Source organism: Homo sapiens, chromosome 15, assembly GCF_000001405.40.
Source record: "Homo sapiens chromosome 15, GRCh38.p14 Primary Assembly".
Taxonomy (NCBI): Eukaryota; Metazoa; Chordata; class Mammalia; order Primates; family Hominidae; genus Homo; species Homo sapiens.
The window spans coordinates 69,351,935-69,369,061 of NC_000015.10; the positions used below are offsets into that span (position 1 = coordinate 69,351,935).

Below are 17,127 nucleotides of genomic sequence, written 5' to 3' on the forward strand. Positions count from 1 at the left end.
CCTCATTTGGGTGTGTTACTCTAGCCCATCTACCAAGTGACCTGAAAAGCTGCTAGTTGTGAGTGGATCCTAGAACAGGAGAAGGCTCTGCAACAGGTCCAGGCTGCTATGCAAGCTGCTCTGCCACTTGGGTCATATGACCCAGCAGATCCATTGGTGCTTGATGTGTCAGTGGCAGATAAGGATGCTATCTGGAGTCTTTGGCAGGCCCCTATAGGTGAACTGCAGCAGATGCCCTTAGAGGGCCTTTTGGAGCAAGGCCTTGCCGTCATCCACAGATAAATACCCTCCTTTTGGGAGGCAGCTCTTGGCCTTAGTAGGACTGGGCCTTAGTAGAAACTGAATGCTTGACCATGGACCACCAATTTACCACATGACCTGAGCTGCGTATCATGAACTGAATGTTATCTGATCCACCAAGCCATAAAGTTGGGCATGCACAGCAGCATTCCATCATCAAATGGAAGTGGTTTATACGTGATCAGGCCTGAACAGATCCTGAAGACACAAGTAAGTTATATGAAGAAGTGACACAAATGCCCATGGTTTCTACTCCTGCTACTCTGCCTTCTCTCTTCCAGCCTGCACCTATGGCCTCATGGGAAATGCCCTATGATCAGTTGACAAAGGAAGAGAAAACCGGGGCCTGCCGTCCAGATGGATCTGCGTGATATGCAGGCTACCTGAAAATGGACAGCTGCAGCGCTATGGCCCTTCTATGAGGCATCCTTGAAGGACAGTAGTGAAGGGAACTCTTCTCAGTTGGCAGAAATTCGAGCAGGGCACCTGGTCATGCACTTTGCTTGGAAGCAGAAATGGCCAGATGTATATAGTTTACTGATTCATGGGCTGTAGCCAATGGTTTGGCTGGATGGTCAGGAATATGGAAGAAACATGACTGGAAAATTGGTGACAAGGAAATTTGGGGAAGAGGTATGTGGATGGACCTCTCTGATTGGGCAAAAGAGGTGAAGATATTTGTGTCTCATGTTAGCAGTCACCAAAGAGTGACCTCGTCAGAGGAGGACTTTAATAATCAAGTGGATAGAATGACCTGTTCTGTAGATGCCAGTCAGCCTCTTTCACCACCCATCCCTGTCTTCATCCCAGAGTCTCATGAATAAAGTGGCCATGGTGGCAGGGATGGAGGTTATGCACTGGCTCAGCAACATTGACTTCCACTCACTGAGGCCAACCTGGCTACAACCACTGCTGAGTGCCCATTCTGCCAGCAGCAGAGACCAACACTGGTGTCCCTGATGTGGCACCATTACCTGGGGCGATCAGCCAGCTACCTGGTGGCAAGTTGCTTACACTGGACCCCTTCCATCATGGAAGAGGCAGTGTTTTTTCCTTACTGGAATACATATTTAATCTGAATATGGATTTGTCTCCCCTGAATGTGATACTTCTGTCAAAACTACCATCCATGGACTCATAGAATGCTTTATTCATTGCCATGGTATTCATACAATATTGCTTTTGACAAAGAAACTCATTTTACAGCCAAAGAAGTGTGACAATGGGCCCATGCTCATGGAATTCACTGGTCTTACCATGTTCCCGTTATTCCGAAGCAGCTGGCTTGACAGAACAGTAGAATGGCCTTTTGAAGTCATAATTACAGAGCCAGCTAGGTGGCAATACCTTGCAGGGCTGGGGCAAGGTTGTCCAGAAGGCTGTACATGCTCTGAATCAGCGTTCAATATGTGGTACTATTTCTCCCACAGCCAGGATTCACAGGTGCAGGAATCAAAGGGTAGAAATGGAGGGAGGTGGGGGGCACCACTCACCCTTATCCCTAGTGACCCACAAACAAAATTTTTGCTTCCTGTTTCCAAGAAGACTTGATGCTCTGCTGGTCTAAAGGTCTTAGTTCCAGAGGGGAGAATGCTTCCACCAGGAGACACAACAATGATTCCACTGAGCTGGAAGTTAAGACTGCCACCCAGCCACTTTGGGCTTCTTGTGCCTCTGAATCAACAGGCTAAGAAGGGAGTGATGGTTTGGGCTGGGATGACTGATGTGGATGACCAGGAGGAAATTGCACTCCTACCCGACAACGGGAGTGAGGAAGAGTATGTCTGGAATACAGGAAAGCTCTTTGGGCCTCTCTTAGAATTATCCTGCTCTGTGATTAAGGTCAATGGGAAACTATGACAACCCAATCTAGGCAGTACTAACAAATGGCCCAGACCCTTCAGGAATTAAGGTTTAGGCCAACCCACTAAGTAAAGAACCATGACCAACTAAGGTGCTTACTGAAGGCAAAGAGAATGCAGATGGGTAGTAGAAGAAGATAGTTATCAATACCAGCTACAAACATGATCAGTTACAGAACCAAGGACTGTAATTGTCATGAGTATTTCCTCCTTGTTTTGTTAAGAATATGTTTGCATGTATATATACATATATTAACAAATATCCTTGTGCTTCTCTTATTTCTTCATCACGTAATATAAGATTTATTGACCTTGTATCAGTAGTTAAGTATTATTAATGTTATATCATACTATTTAAGTTATGAGATATCAAGAGAAGAATAAACATTACCCAAGAACTTTACCTCCTCTTCTGTGGAAGGGATGAGTGCATTTTGGGTTGTATGCAGGATAATTGTATCATGTTTTGCAGAACTATCTTATTGTTATTGTTTTTATTTGGAGATTAAATATGATTTAGGAGATGCAGATGGGTACCAAGTTGACAGGGGGTAGACTTGTGATGGTTAATTTTAGGTGTCCACTTGACTGGATTAGGGAATACCTAGAGAACTGCTAAGCGTGATTTCTGGGTGTGTCTGCGAGGATGTTTCCAGAGGAGATCGGGTTGTAAGTCCATGGACCAAGTGGGGAAGATCCACCCTCAGTGTGGGCAGACACCATCCAATCAACAAGGGCCCAGAGAGAACAAAAAGAGGAAATTCAAATTCTCTCTCTTTTTCTCCTGGAGCTGGGTCACCCTTCTTCTCCTTCCCTTGGGCATCAGAACTCCAGGCTTTCTGGCCCTTGGACTCTAGGACTTGCACCTCCACCCCGCAGAGTTCTCAGGGCCTTCTGCCTCAGTCCGAGAGTTAAACCATCAGGTTCCCTCATTCTGAGGCTGTAGGACTTGGACTCAGCCACACTGTGGGCATCCCAGTGTCTCCAGCTTGTTAGAGAGCCTGTTGTGGGAATTCTTGGCTTCCATTATCACATGAGCCAATTCACCTAATAAATCCCCTGTCACCCATCTCTCTCTCTCTCTCTCTCGCTATCTGTTTATCTACCTACCTATCTACCTATCTACTTGGTTCTGCCTTTCTGGAGAACTCTAATACAGGAGTATATTTGTCTTCTTTCTCTCTTTCTTTCTTTTCTTTCTTTCTTTCTTTCTTTCTTTCTTTCTTTCTTTCTTTCTTTCTTTCTTTTTTTCTTTCTTTCTTTCTTTCTTTCTTTCTTTCTTTCTTTCTTTCTCTTTCTTTCCTTCTTTCTTTTTTTTCTTTTTCTTTTTCTTTTTTTTCTTGAGACAGAGTCTCACTCTGTTGCCCAGGCTGGAGTGTAGTGGTGAGATCTCGGCTCACTGCAACCTCTGTCTCCCAGGTTCAAGAGAGTCCCCTGCCTCAGCCTCCCAAGTAGCAGGGATTACAGGCATTCGCCACCACGCCCAGCTAATTTTTGTATTTTTAGTAGAAACAGGGTTTCACCATGTTGGTCAGGCTGGTCTCGAACTCCTGACCTCAGGTGATCCACCTGCCTCAGCCTCCCAAAGTGCTGGGATTACAGGTGTAAGGCATTGTGCCCGGCCTGTCCTATTTCTTTATTTATTTTTTATACATTTCTTGGAGACAAGGATAGTCTTATTCATCTTTTTTCCCCTGTGAAATGAAGGAATAGAATGATATAAAGCATGACTACTCCCCTCTATTCTGCGTATCACAAACTTAAACAATTTTTATATCAGTTAAATTCTCAGCTTTTCCTTAAATCTGCGGCAGCCCACAGAGAATAATCAGCTATTCACTTATCCCTTATCCTTTCTTTCTTAAGCTATTCACTTATCCCTGATTAAAATGCAGTAAGCAGTGAATGAATGAAGAAATTAATGAATCCTACACTACTTTGTATTACCCCTTATTTTTGCATGGCTAATATGGTCATCCTACCTAAATAGTGTGAGAGTAGAGACTGTGTCTTTCTTTTTCTTCCCATGATATTGAGTCAAAGCCAGAGATAACTAAGGGACCTAGGTAGGCAGGTCTGTGGAGACCCAACCTTGATTTCTATTGTTGTCTGAGGCTTCTCTGGTGTGTTTGAGTTTCCCTATTACTGGACATTTGCCTCTTGTCCTGCCATTAGGTGAATTGGTGGTGCTTCTATGAGTGTGCACGGCTTGGTGATTTAGCCATGAAAAACTAAGTGTACTATGGCTCATTTACATCAGTACTGTATTTTTTGCAAAGTATTAACTTTTATTTTTTAACCTGGGCAAAATGTATGTGAGCTTAAAAAAATTATTTTCTTTATTATTCTATAATTTTGAAATTGTATGCCACTATTTTATTGGTATAAAATATACATAACATTTAGCATTTTAACCATTTTTAAGTGTATAGCTCAGTGGCATTAAGTACGTTGGTACCGTTGTGCAACCATCGCCATCATCCATCTTCAGAACATTTTTATCATCCCAAACAGAAACTCTGTGTCCTTTAAATACAAATTCCCCATTCTTTCCCCCAAGCCCCTGGTAACCACTATCCAGCTTTCTGTTTCTAGGAATTTGACTACTCCAGGTGCCTTGTACCTGTGGAATTGTACAACATTTGTCCTTTTGTAAGTGGCTCACTTCACTTAGCTTAAGGTCTTCAAAGGTGTGTCCTGGTTGTAGCATATATCAGAATTTCCTTCCTTTTTAAGGATGAATAATATTCCATTGTATGTATATTTCACTGATATAGTTTGAATATTTGTCCCTGCGCAAGTCTCATGTTGAAATGTAATCCCCAATGCTGAAGGTGGGGCCTGGAGGGAGGTGTTTGTATCATGGGGGCAGATCCCTCGTGGCTTGGTGCTGTCTTCGAGATAGTGACTTCTCTCAAGATCTGGTTGTTTAAAAGTGCGTGGCATCTCCCCACCCACTGTCTCTCTCTCTCTCTTTCTCTCTTGCTCCTGCTTTCGCCGTACAACTTGCCAGCTACTCCTTCGCCTTCCGCTATGATTGTAAGCTTCCTGCAGCCTCCCTAGAAGCCAAGCAGAACCCAGTACCATGTTTCCTGTCCAGCCTGCAGAACTGTGAGCCAATTAAACCTCTTTTCTTTATAAATTACCCAGTCTCAGGGTGTTTGTTTGTTTGTTTGTTTGTTTTTGAGACATAATCTTGCTCTGTCGTCCAGGCTGGAGTGTAGTGGTATGATCTCGGCTCACTGCAACCTCCACCTCCCAGGTTCAAGCAATTCTCCTGCCTCAGCCTCCCTGGTAGTGGGGACTACAGTTGTGCACCACCATGCCTGGCTAATTTTTGTATTTTTAGTAGAGACGGGGTTTCACCATGTTGCCCAGGTTGGTCTCAAACTCCTGACCTTAGGTGATCCACCCACCTAGGCCTCCCAAAGTGCTGGGATTACAGGTGTGCGCTACCACACTTGGCCTCAGGTATTTCTTTATAGCAATGCAAGAATGGACTGATACCACCACATTTTGTTCATTCATCCTTTAATGAACACTTCGGTTGCTTCCACCCTTTGAGTATTGTGAATAATGCTTCTATTACTGTTTTTAAGAAAGAAGCATATTTACGACGGTGAAATAAACAGATTGTGTTTTGCTGCATAGTTTCAGATAACACTTAGAACATAAATATAAGAAGAAGCAAAAGTAAACGAACCACAAAAATAAAAACAAAACAACTTCAAGTTCAAACTATGAGCATCATTGCTTCATTAAATAATCATTTGCTGAGGGCCCAGGGTGGACCATGCATACACCCCGAGTTTCCAGCCAGCCATGGGAGGCTTCTTCCTGAAGGGGCAGACGAGGCCTAGGGAGTTAGCTGTGACTGTAGGTACGATGTGGTTGGTGCTGCAGGTACATACAAGCAAGGTCTCTGGGTCTTCAGAGGCAGGGAAAGAACACCTCTGACTGATGAGGACTATGAGGAGGGCTCTCAGGAGGTGGTAGACTTTGGCCCAGTGATGATAGGGGTAAAGGAGGAAATTTACTATGGTAAATTCCCAACTCTGCTCTTCTTTGCTAAATCCAAGGTGTATTTTTCTGTTTCTTGGACCTGTTGCAAGGGCTCTGGGTCTCTGTGGTGCACATTACTCACAGCTCTTAAGTGGTCTTCATCCTGCATTTAAGCAATCTTGTTACTTACTCTTGAGTTGCTCTGTCTCCAACAAGTGCCTTGGATTTATTTGCTTGGCATGGTTCTTTTGTGTGTCTCAGGGCAACCAAGCTCTGGTCAGCTTTCTGGAAGAGTTGAGTTGCTTCTCTTGCTGTGATCTGAGGCAGCTCCTGACCCTCTTCCACCCACTGGCTGGACACAGACTTAAGATCCCACTGTCCGTCCAGGGGCAGCCTCTGGTGGAGTGGAGAGTGAGCAGCCCAGCTCCCTGCTGCGGTGCGGCCTTGGGAAAGTTATTCCGCCCCTCCCACCTTCATGTGTAACATGAGAAGACTGGGTGACCTCTAAGGCCCTTTTCTTTTCAGCTCTGTGGCATTTTTTTTTTTTTTTTGAGACAGATTCTTGCTGTGTTGCTCTGGCTGGAGTGCAGTGGCATGATCATGGCTCACAGCAGCCTTGACCTCCTGGGCTGAAGTGATCTCACTTTAGCCCGCCCTTGAGTATAACACCATACCCAGCTAATTTTAATTTCTTCTTTGTAGAAACAAGGTCTCACTATATCACCCAGGCTGGTCTTGAACTCTGGGGCTCAACTGATCGTCCCATCTCAGTCTCCCAAATTTCTGGGATTATAGGCATGAGCCACCACACCTGGCCTTAGCTCTGCAATTTTATGATCACTGTCTTAGTCCATTTGGCATGCTATCACAAAATATCTAAGACTGGGTAATTTATAAACAACAGAAATTTATTGCTAATGGTTCTGGAGGCTGGGAAGTCCAAGGTCACAGTGCCAGCAGATTCCCCGTCTGGTGAGGGCCCATTCCTCATAGATGTCTCCTTCTATGTGTCTTCACATGGTGGAAGGGGCGAACAAGCTCCCTCACACCTCTTTTCTATGAGCACTAATCCCACTCGTAAGGGCAGAGCCTTCATGACCTAGTCACCTCCCAAAAGCCCTGCTCCTTGTCACCACATTGGAGATTAGGTTTTGACACATGAATTTTGGGGAGACACAAACATTCAGACCATAGTAATTGCCCATATTATTGTCACAGGATGAGCCGCAGACAAAACTCCTCAGACACCGAGTTAAAGACGGAAGCGGTTTATTTGGCCGGGGGGCATCAGCAAGACTCCTGTCTCAAGGGCCGAGCTCCCCAAGTGAGCAATTCCTGTCCCTTTTAAGGGCTCACAACTCTAAGGGGGTGCGTGTGAGAGGGTCGTGATTGATTGATCGAGCAGGGGGTATGTAACTGGGGGTTGCATGCACTGGTAATTAGATGGGAACAAAACAGGATATGGATTTTCGCAGTGCTTTTCTATACAATGTCTGTAATCTATAGATAACATAACTGATTAGATCAGGGGTCAATCTTTAACTACCAGGCCCAGGGTGTGGTGCCGGCTGTCTGCTTGTGGATTTCATTTCTGCCTTTTAGATTTTACTTTTTCTTTCTTTGGAGGCAGAAATTGGGCATAAGACAATATGAGGGGTGGTCTCCTCCCTTATTATTAATTACCTCCCTCCAGCACTCTTGGAGTGGATGACTCAGCAGTCTGATCATTTTGCTGTTTTTAAGGAAGCTTGATCTTGTGCCATCATGTGTAGCAAGTATATGTTCAATAGTTGAACAAGCTGACTGTCCTGACCCAGCTGGAGTTAGGCTGAAACTGACTGGATTTCTTCATGCTGTCCTCTTTCAGGGAAGCGGCACAGCACCAGCTAGGCAGAGACGCCCCAGGCCATGTTAGAGCTTTGAGTGAGGCCTGGTAACAGGGAGGCGCTGTCACCTACTGGCCTTGCCAATCCAGCTCCAAGATGCTGAGCCTGAAGCTCCCCAGGCTGTTTAGCATAGACCAGATACCCCAGGTATGTGCTCTATTGATTATGATGGTTCATTTCCAGAGTGTGACCAGGGCTTGGCCTCCGCAATGGGGGGCTGTTGTCTTCACCTAGTCTGTTCTGTACAGGCCCATTCCCTTCAAGGACCCCTTCCCACACTTCCTTGGGGGATATTACAGCCTCCTACTTCCCCCACCTACCTTGAAATGGAAGTATTCCCAAAGTTGTTTAAGTTGTAACCCTTCCTTGCAACATCTGTGTGTTATCCAGAAGCAAAGTCATTACTGAGATTCAACCTGAAGAGATAAAGCCAGCAGCAGCTGGCTGGGTAGGAAGTTTATTTTTTCAGGCCCCTCCTATGGGTGCTTGAAAGCAGGCTATGGGCAAAGGCACACCAGGTCATGGCTTTGCTCATCCCCATTACTTGCAGGATGCCCAGGCCAGGCCTTCACTGGGGCGATGGGGAGGGTTGTTGAATGAGCCTTAGCATTGCCCTTTAGTGGACCCATGGGCCTGGGAGCTCACAGGCAGGTACCCTGAAATATGTGAGACTCACTGATGATCTGCTTTACTAAGCCATAGGTGAGCCTGGTTGTGTGCTACAGAGAACTGGTGCACTTCCTCCTTCTCTTGCAAAGGAAACATCATTGTGTTGCACCCCTTTGTTGATGTCAAATTTCCTTCCTTTTTGACTAAGAAAAGTGGGTGTCATTTCATGGTGGGAAGTTTCTTTGGGAAGATGTGACAGAGTGGAGGAGAGTTCTACTTGGCTTGGCTGATTACCAAGCACTTATGACTTGCCCCAGAAAAATAAGTTTGAAATAAACTCAACATCACCAATGGAAGGTTGAGGGGGAAATTGCCAAACCCTAACCCTAAAAGCCTGTGAAGCCAGGTGATTCCAGGAAGATGGCATGGGGGAAAACCGTAAGTGGTGCAGAGCTGTTTGGTGGGGTGAGCTGAGGAATGTGGCAAGTAATAGGCAAGCTACACGTGTGGCTGTCTCCCATGACACTGGGCAGAGCACCTGCCTCTGTTCTCACAGGGCAATCACCTTCTCCTTTTGGTGCACTTTGCTGGTTGGTTCTACCCATAGAGCATTAGCAGCTGTGATTAGTGGGAACACAGTGTGATTCTTGAATTTATTTACTCATGAAATTTGTATTGACTGCCTACTATGTGCAAGGGATTCAGAGAATAATTACATACAAATCCTGTCCTTGCGTGACTCATATGTTGGTCAGGAAGATTTTTAAATGTGCATGAGAAATTCTTTTCTAAAGTGGGTTAGGGTCTATCTTAAGACAGGGTGATTGTTTCAGAGAAGGGATTGGTCACTTCCATCACGAGGGAGTGTATTAGTCCATTCTCACACTGCTATAAAGAACTGCCTGAAACCTGGTAATTTATAAAGAAAAGAGGTCTAATTGACTCACAGTTCCTCATGGCTGTGGAGGCCTCAGGTAACTTACAATCATGAGGGAAGAGGCACGTCTTACATGACAGTAGGCAAGAGAGAGCATGATGTGAAGGAGGAACTGTCAGACACTTATGAAACCATCAGGTCTCAAGAGAACTCACTCACAGTTTGGGGGACAACACCCCCATGATCCAATCACCTCCCACCAGGTTCCTCCCTTGACATGTGGGAATTATAGGGATTACAATTTCAGATGAGATTTGAATGGGGACACAGAGCCAAATTATATCAGGGAGGAAGTGATCAGGGAAGGCTTCATGAAGGGGGTGATCTGAGGGGTGGACAGGATTGTGGAAGTGGGGAGAGCATTCCAGGTGGAAGGAGCAGTGTGAGCAAAGGCCTAGAGATGGGAGATCATGGGGCAGGTGGTGATGGTGGGGGGACTGGGGAGCGTCTTGGGGGTAGAGGTTATGGGAGTCTGCTTAGATATCTTTCTGGACATTTTGGTCAGGGTTGGATTCAGAGTATGTCCGCAGGAAAGAAGTGAAGGGGGCAGAGTGGTATCAATAGGTCCTTTGGGTAACCTGCTGGGAATCTGAATGTATGGAGATTCTGAATGTCAGGGCTGGACAACCCTGGCAGAGGCTAAGGGAGAAAGATGAACATGTCCTCTCTGTCCAGTTTTTCGTAAGTTAGAGGATGATGATATCTTTAGTGAAATGGCACTAGCTAGAGGCAGAAGACCAACATCACACTTTGCAGCCACCGTTTGCTTCAAAATCTGCCTTGGGCTCCAGCATCCACTATTGGGTTTTTGGGCATCATGCCCAGGGTTCATGAAGCCATAGAGAAAATATAGTGGCTCTGCCTGCCTGGAGGGTAGTTTTACCTGAGGATTTGGGGGCAAAGACATTTATTAGTATTAAAACAGATGCACAGGTATTAAAAATGGAATGCACAATTTACATGAATATTTAAAATAGGATACTTCATACAATTGTTAAAGCTTACCTTTGGTGGGATCTGTGGGTTCCAATACTTGGTTTTTAGAGTGGCCTCAAGCAAGATAATCTCTCTACCTCAGCTTTGGCTTCTGTAAAATGGGAATGACAACAGTATCTGCCTCCTGGGGTTGTGAGAATTAAATGAGATAACCCAAGTGAAGTGCCTGGCACGTGGTGAACAATTAATAATGTTGGTTGTCATTATTAGCATTCTCTCCTAGGCTCTTTAGGGCACTTTGAGGGGTAGAGCATGCTGGCAGGAGACTTCAGAGGCCCTGTCCATAGACTCGAACCCCGGCTCCCTCGCCTGCTGTTCACCACCTTCACCAGCCTGATCCCTCCCCACCTCTTCCACCACGTCCCATCCACAGACCCTCTTCTCTTTATTCTCCCCAGGAGATGCAACCTTCACTTGTCTTGATTTCTGTTTGAAGAAGGCTTTCCTCTCCCCAACCTTTGCTCCCCCTTTGTGACTTCCTTTTTTATGGAGTGGCAGGTGCCTGCTCCCTTCCCCGAGCTCCTTCAGCTGTTGGTTGTACCTCTACAAGCTGCTCTGTACAGCTGCCTCTCCTTTTGTGTATCAGCCAGCTATGTGACCTGGGCCACTTCACTACCCTGTCTGGGCCTCAGCCATCTATAGGGAATGGTGTGCCCACCTCTCTGCATCATCAGAGTTGTAATCCTGGTCCATTCTTGGTGCATTCCTGGCTGATAGATTGTTCATGGAAAAGGGCAGTTTCTCTCTTCCCTCAGAAGGCAGAATTTGTGTGTATGCCTCATAATATTTAGTCTCCCTTGTGTCCAAAACTAAGCTTGGGTACATCAGAGGGTCATTAAAGATGTGAACAAAACCTCAAGGAATGGAATAATTATCTAGATGTTGATTCTTACACAGACCCCTTTAGAGACAAAACAGAGAGGCCTAGAAAAAAGACAACAAGTTCATATGCAACATGGCGTGACACTTTGCCAGGAAACAAGAACATCGAGTGTCAAATTGCTAATCTGTTTTTTGTTTTTGTTTTTTTTTTTTTTTGAGACAGAGTCTTGCTCTGTCACCCAGGCTGGAGTGCAGTGGCACTATCATGACTCACTGCAACCTCCGCCTCCCAGGTTCAAGCGATTCTCCTTCTCCTGCCTCAACCTCTCAAGTAGCTGGGACTACAGGTGCACGCCACCATGCCCAGATACTTTTTGCATTTTCAGTAACAACAGGGTTTCACCATGTTGGCCAGGCTGGGTCTCGAACTCCTGACCTCAAGTGATCCGCCTGCCTCAGCTTCCCAAAGTTCTGGGATTACAAGTGTGAGCCACTGAACCCAGACAAATTGCTAAGCTTTAAATAACTACAGCCTTGACTCACAGGCTACAGGTAAACACATCCCATAGTCCCAGATGCCTTAGTTTAGGGGCATGGACAGGAGGATTCCCTGAGGCAGTGGTCTACACAGAGAGGAAAAGCAACGCCGTTTCCAGACTTGCACTGCAGCTCTGCCACACAGTCATAAACTTAGTCTCAGTGTTCTTATCTGTAAGATGGAAGTGACTCCTGTTAAGTCAGTCTCACAGGGCAATTGTGAAGATCCAATAAAAATGAAATAGAACAGTGGGATTATTATGAATGAAGGAAGCACAGCCAGATCAGTGTCTGGCATAGGTGTTTGGTAGGTGGGCTCAGGCACTGGGAACAAGGAGCCATCTCAACAGGTAAATGGTTTCTCCAGCCCAGTGCTATTCAGAGAGAGTGCTTAGATCACCAATGTCAGAATTACCTGGTAGCTTATTAAAATATGATAGAAGCAGGGCTCGGTGGGTCACACCTGTAATCCTAGCACTTTGGGATGCCGAGGTGGGTGATTTTAAAGCAATCACCATTCTGTCTCCAAAAACAAAACAAAACAAAACAAATATATATATATATTATATACATGTAATATATATTATATATGTAATATATATACATTATATATGTTATATATATACATTATATATGTAATATATATACATTATATATGTTATATATATATAACGAGTTGTGATAGCAGGCATCTTTGTATTGTTCTTGGTTTTAATGAAAAGAAATGCTTTTAACATTTCACCATTTAATATGGTTGCTGTGTGTGTGTGTGTGTGTATAAGTAATCTTTTCATCTTTATCAGATTAAGGGTATCACTTCATATTCTAGTTTGCTAGGATTTTTTCCCTCATAATTTTTTTTATTTTTTTGGAGATGGAGTCTTGCTCTGTTACCCAGGCTGGAGTACAGTGGCAAGATCTCGGCTCACTGCAACCTCCGCCTCCCAGGTTCAAGCAATTCTCTGCCTCAGCCTCCCAAGTAGCTGGGATCACAGGTGTCCGCCACCACACCAAGCTAGTTTTTGTATTTTTAGTAGAGATGGGGTTTCACTATCTTGGCCAGGCTGGTCTTGAACCCCTGACCTCGTGATTCACCTGCCTTGGCCTCCCAAAGTGCTGGGATTACAGGCGTGAGCCACCGCATCTGGCCTTCCCTTATGAATTTTATTTTATTTTATTTTATTTTATTTTATTTTATTTTATTTTATTTTATTTTATTTTATTTTATTTATTTATTTAGAGACAGAGTCTTGCTTTGTCACCCAGGCTGGAGTGCAGTGGCGCAATCTCGGCTCACCGCAACCTCTGCCTCCCAGGTTCAAGCGATTCTCATGCCTCAGCCTCCCAAGTAGCTGGGACTACAGGCAAGTGCCACCATCCCTGGCTAATTTTTGTATTTTTTAATAGAGATGGGGTTTCATCATGTTGGCCAGGCTGGTCTCAAACTCCTGACCTCAGGTGATCCACCTGCCTCAGCCTCCCAAAGTGCTGGGATTACAGGCGTGAGCCACCGTGCCCAGCCTCCTTTATGAATTTTATAGAACTCTTTATTCCTATCATCTTTTGAGATGATCATATATGATTCATTTAAGTTGTTAGTGTGGTGATACACTGATTAATTTGCTAATGTTAAACCAATTTTTTGTTTTTGGTTTAAATACAGCTTGATTGTGATAGATCTCTTTAATCTATTGCTAGAGTCAGTTAGCTAATATTTTGTTCAGGATCTTTAAGTCTATTAATGAGTTGGCCTATAATGTTTTCTTCTTATGCTGTCCTTGCCTGGACTTGGGATTCAGGTTACGCCAACCACAAGTGAGTTGGAGATTGCTGCCTATTTATTCTATGGGGAAAAATATCTAATATTAGAATTATACATTCCCGAGTAGTTGGTAGAATTTGTCTGTGAAATTACCTGGGCGGAGCCACCATATTGCCCAACTCTAAGGGGGCACCATTTCCCTTTTAGTCTACGTGAATGGCAACCTCTGGAGTTATGCAGGGAACAACTTGGCCCTACAGCTGAATTTTCTTGATGGAAAGATTTTTTTATAACAGCCTAGTTGAGACACAATTCACATATTATAAAATCCACCCTGTAAAAGTGTACAATTCAGTGTTTTAGTTTGTTGAACACAGAGTATATTGCACAAAACCATCACCATGATCACCAGTTTTTAGAACATTTTCATCACTCCAGAAAGAACTACACCCGTTAGCAGCCATTTTCTATTCCCTTAGTTCCTGGCAACCACCTAACCTACTTTCTGTCTGTATGGATTTGCCTATTGTGGATATCTCCCACAAATGGGATTGTGCAAATATGTGGCCTTTTCTGACTGCCTTCTTTCACTTAGCAGGATGTTTTCAAGGTTCATCTATGCTGTAGCATCTATCAGTACTTTGTTTTAATGGCCAAATCATAGTCTATTGAATGGATATACCATAGTTTGTTTATCCATTCATTAGTTGATGAACAGGTGAGTTGTTTCTATTTTTTGGATATTATAAATATGCTGCTGTGAACATTCATGTACAAGTCATTTAGGTGGACAAGTTGTCAGTCTCTTTGGTGTACAACCCAGGAGTGGAGTTGCTGGATCATATGGTAACTCCATGCTTCCAAGTATATGGAGTTTTTATACTACTGATTTAACTTAATTGATCTTGGTCTGAGAATGCCCCCTGTATTATTCCAATCCTTGACGTTTGTTCAGACTAGCTTGATGGCCTAGCACATGAATAATTTTCATACATCTTCTAAGTGTGCCGATAAATAATGTATAGTCTCCAGTTGTTGGAGGAAGTATTCCATATTTGTCCATAAGATCAATTATCTTTATATTTTTACCAATTTTGTTCTACTTGATCTATGCATAATTGAGATGTGTTAAAAAATCTTCCACTATGGTGGCAAATTTGTAAATTACTTCTTGTAAGTTAATTTTTACTTTACGTATTTTGAGCCTGTGTTTTTTAGGTATATCCAAGTTTATAATTGTCCTATTTTCTATCTTCCCGATGTTGCAAAGGTATGATTTTGTAGTGATTATCTTTATATCTAGTAATGCTTTTTGCCTTGGAATGCATCCGATATTAATGTAACTACTCTAGCTTTTGTTATCATTTGTTTGGCTTATCTCCTTCCTTTGACTTTCAATCCTTCCCCATGATTATATTTTAGCTGTGTCTTGTGTAAACAGCACATGGTGAGATTTTATTAGTTTGACAATATTTGTTTTTTAGCTGACAGTTTAGTCTACTTATATTTATAATGATTACTGATATCCACATTTATTTTCATTGTCTTAAATGCTTTTGTCTTGTTTTCTCTATTTGTTCCTTGTTTCCCTTACTTTCTTTGGATTGAGTTTTACATTTCTCTTTTTTTTTCTTTTCATATGCTATTTTTCCCTTCCACCTGTTTTATAATTAATGTGTTAGAAATATGCTCTGCGTGGATTAGTTTAGTGGTCACTTCAGCTATTTTAACATGAATAGCTGTACTAGACAGGGTCAGGCTATGCTGAGTTAAAAATTACCCCATATAGCTCGGTGACTTAACATAGCAAAGGTTATTTCACATCACACTACATAGCTAAGTGGTCAGTGAGGGACTGAGACACCCAGGCAGCCATCTCCTGGCTGCCCCCTCTGCAACGTGCAGCCTCCAAGGTCATCCCAGAAGGGGAAGCCAGGGTCTACAGCAATACCACCCTGAACACACCTATCTTGCCTGATCTCAGAAACTAGGCAGGGCTGGGCCAGGTTCAAGCTTGGATGGGAGAAGAAGAAGAGAAAGTTAGTTTCCCTAGAAACAGACTTTGAGAAAAAGATTCGGGCACAGAAAGTTTATGGGGGAGTATTCTCAGGAACAACCCCTGCAAGGATGTGAAGGAGGCGGGATTGTGCAGAAGGAGAAGCTGCGTTAGAAACCTCCACCAGTCACTCAGGAGCTCTGGAAGTTAGTGGGCCTTTCAGAGTTGTCCCAAATGGGAAAAGGAGGCTAGGACCTTGATCTGTCATCAGTGGATGTACACAGCCCCTGGGGAGGAGTATAACTAGTGCCCGTTGGCCAAAAACAATTCCCATGGCATGATGAGTGGCTCAGTTCGGAAGAGTCCTTCCGAAAGGTCCTTCAGAAGTTTGTAGTGATATCTGCAAGAAGGCTTTCTGCTTTTTTTTTTAGACCAAGTCTTGCTCTGTAGCCAAGGCTGCAGTGCAGTGGCACTATCTTGGCTCACTGCAATCTCCGCCTCCCAGGTTCAAACAATTCTCCTGCCTCAGCCTCCTATATAGCTGGATTACGGGCATGCACCACCACGCCTGGCTAATTTTTGTATTTTTAGCAAAGATGTGGTTTCACCATGTTGGCCAGGCTGGTCTCGAACTCCTGACCACAGGTGATCTGCCTGCCTTGGCCTCCCAAAGTGCTGGGATTACAGGCATGAGCCACTGTGCGTCTGCTTTTAACTCTTCTGGCCTAGAAGTAACATTAACTGGAAATAGTCACATGGCCCCAACCTAACTTTGAGAAAGTCTGAGGAATGTAGGAAAGCACATGTAATATTTGGTGAACACCAACTGTCTACTTAACCTCTTGGATCTGAAAACTGATGACTCAATAATGCTAGAAATGTATCAGTTATTTCTTCAAATAGCACATCAAAACCATTTATATCTTCTCCTTCTGGAGAAATGTTCTCTGTGTCTCTTATTAGCTTTTTCATATTTTCTATCTATTACTCTCTCTGGACTGCATTCTGGGTACTTTCTTTGGATCTTTCAGTTGACTAATTTTCTCTTCAGACAGGTCTGGTGTATTATTTATTCCTTTGATGTATTTTAAATTTCAATTATTTTTTAATTTCTAAAAGTTATATTAGGCTCTTTTTTTTGAGACAGGGTCTTGCTCTGTCACCCAGGCTGGAGTGTCATGGTGCAGTCATGGCTCACTGTAGCCTTAAACTCTTGGGCTCAAGTGATGCTCCTGCCTCAGCCTCCCCAGTAGCTGGAACTACAGCTGTGCTCCACCATACCCAGCTAATTTTTTAAAAAAATTTTGTAGAGATGAGGGTGTCTCACTGTGTGGCCTAAGCTGGTCTTAAACTCCTGGGCTCAAGAAATCCACCCACCACGGCCCCCAAAGTTTTGGCATTACAGGGTTGAGCTACTA

The 17,127-nt window shown here is 43.9% G+C and overlaps 1 protein-coding gene across 18 annotated transcripts in view; it reads left to right on the forward strand.

Annotated features, from left to right (window-relative positions):
* Nucleotides 1-17,127, forward strand: part of PAQR5 (progestin and adipoQ receptor family member 5) — a 108,869-nt gene that overhangs the window by 53,023 nt on the left and 38,719 nt on the right. For 10 of the 18 annotated variants that reach the window (XM_047432749.1, XM_047432747.1, XM_047432744.1 and 7 more), the window contains one exon: nt 8,032-8,197. In XM_047432749.1, the coding sequence (XP_047288705.1) occupies nt 8,147-8,197 (51 nt within the window). In that variant the 5' untranslated portion in view covers nt 8,032-8,146. Of the gene's footprint in view, nt 1-7,382; nt 7,489-8,031; nt 8,198-17,127 lie in introns of all 18 variants that reach the window. The other 8 variants (XM_047432748.1, XM_047432746.1, XM_017022360.2 and 5 more) reach the window with 1 other exon arrangement.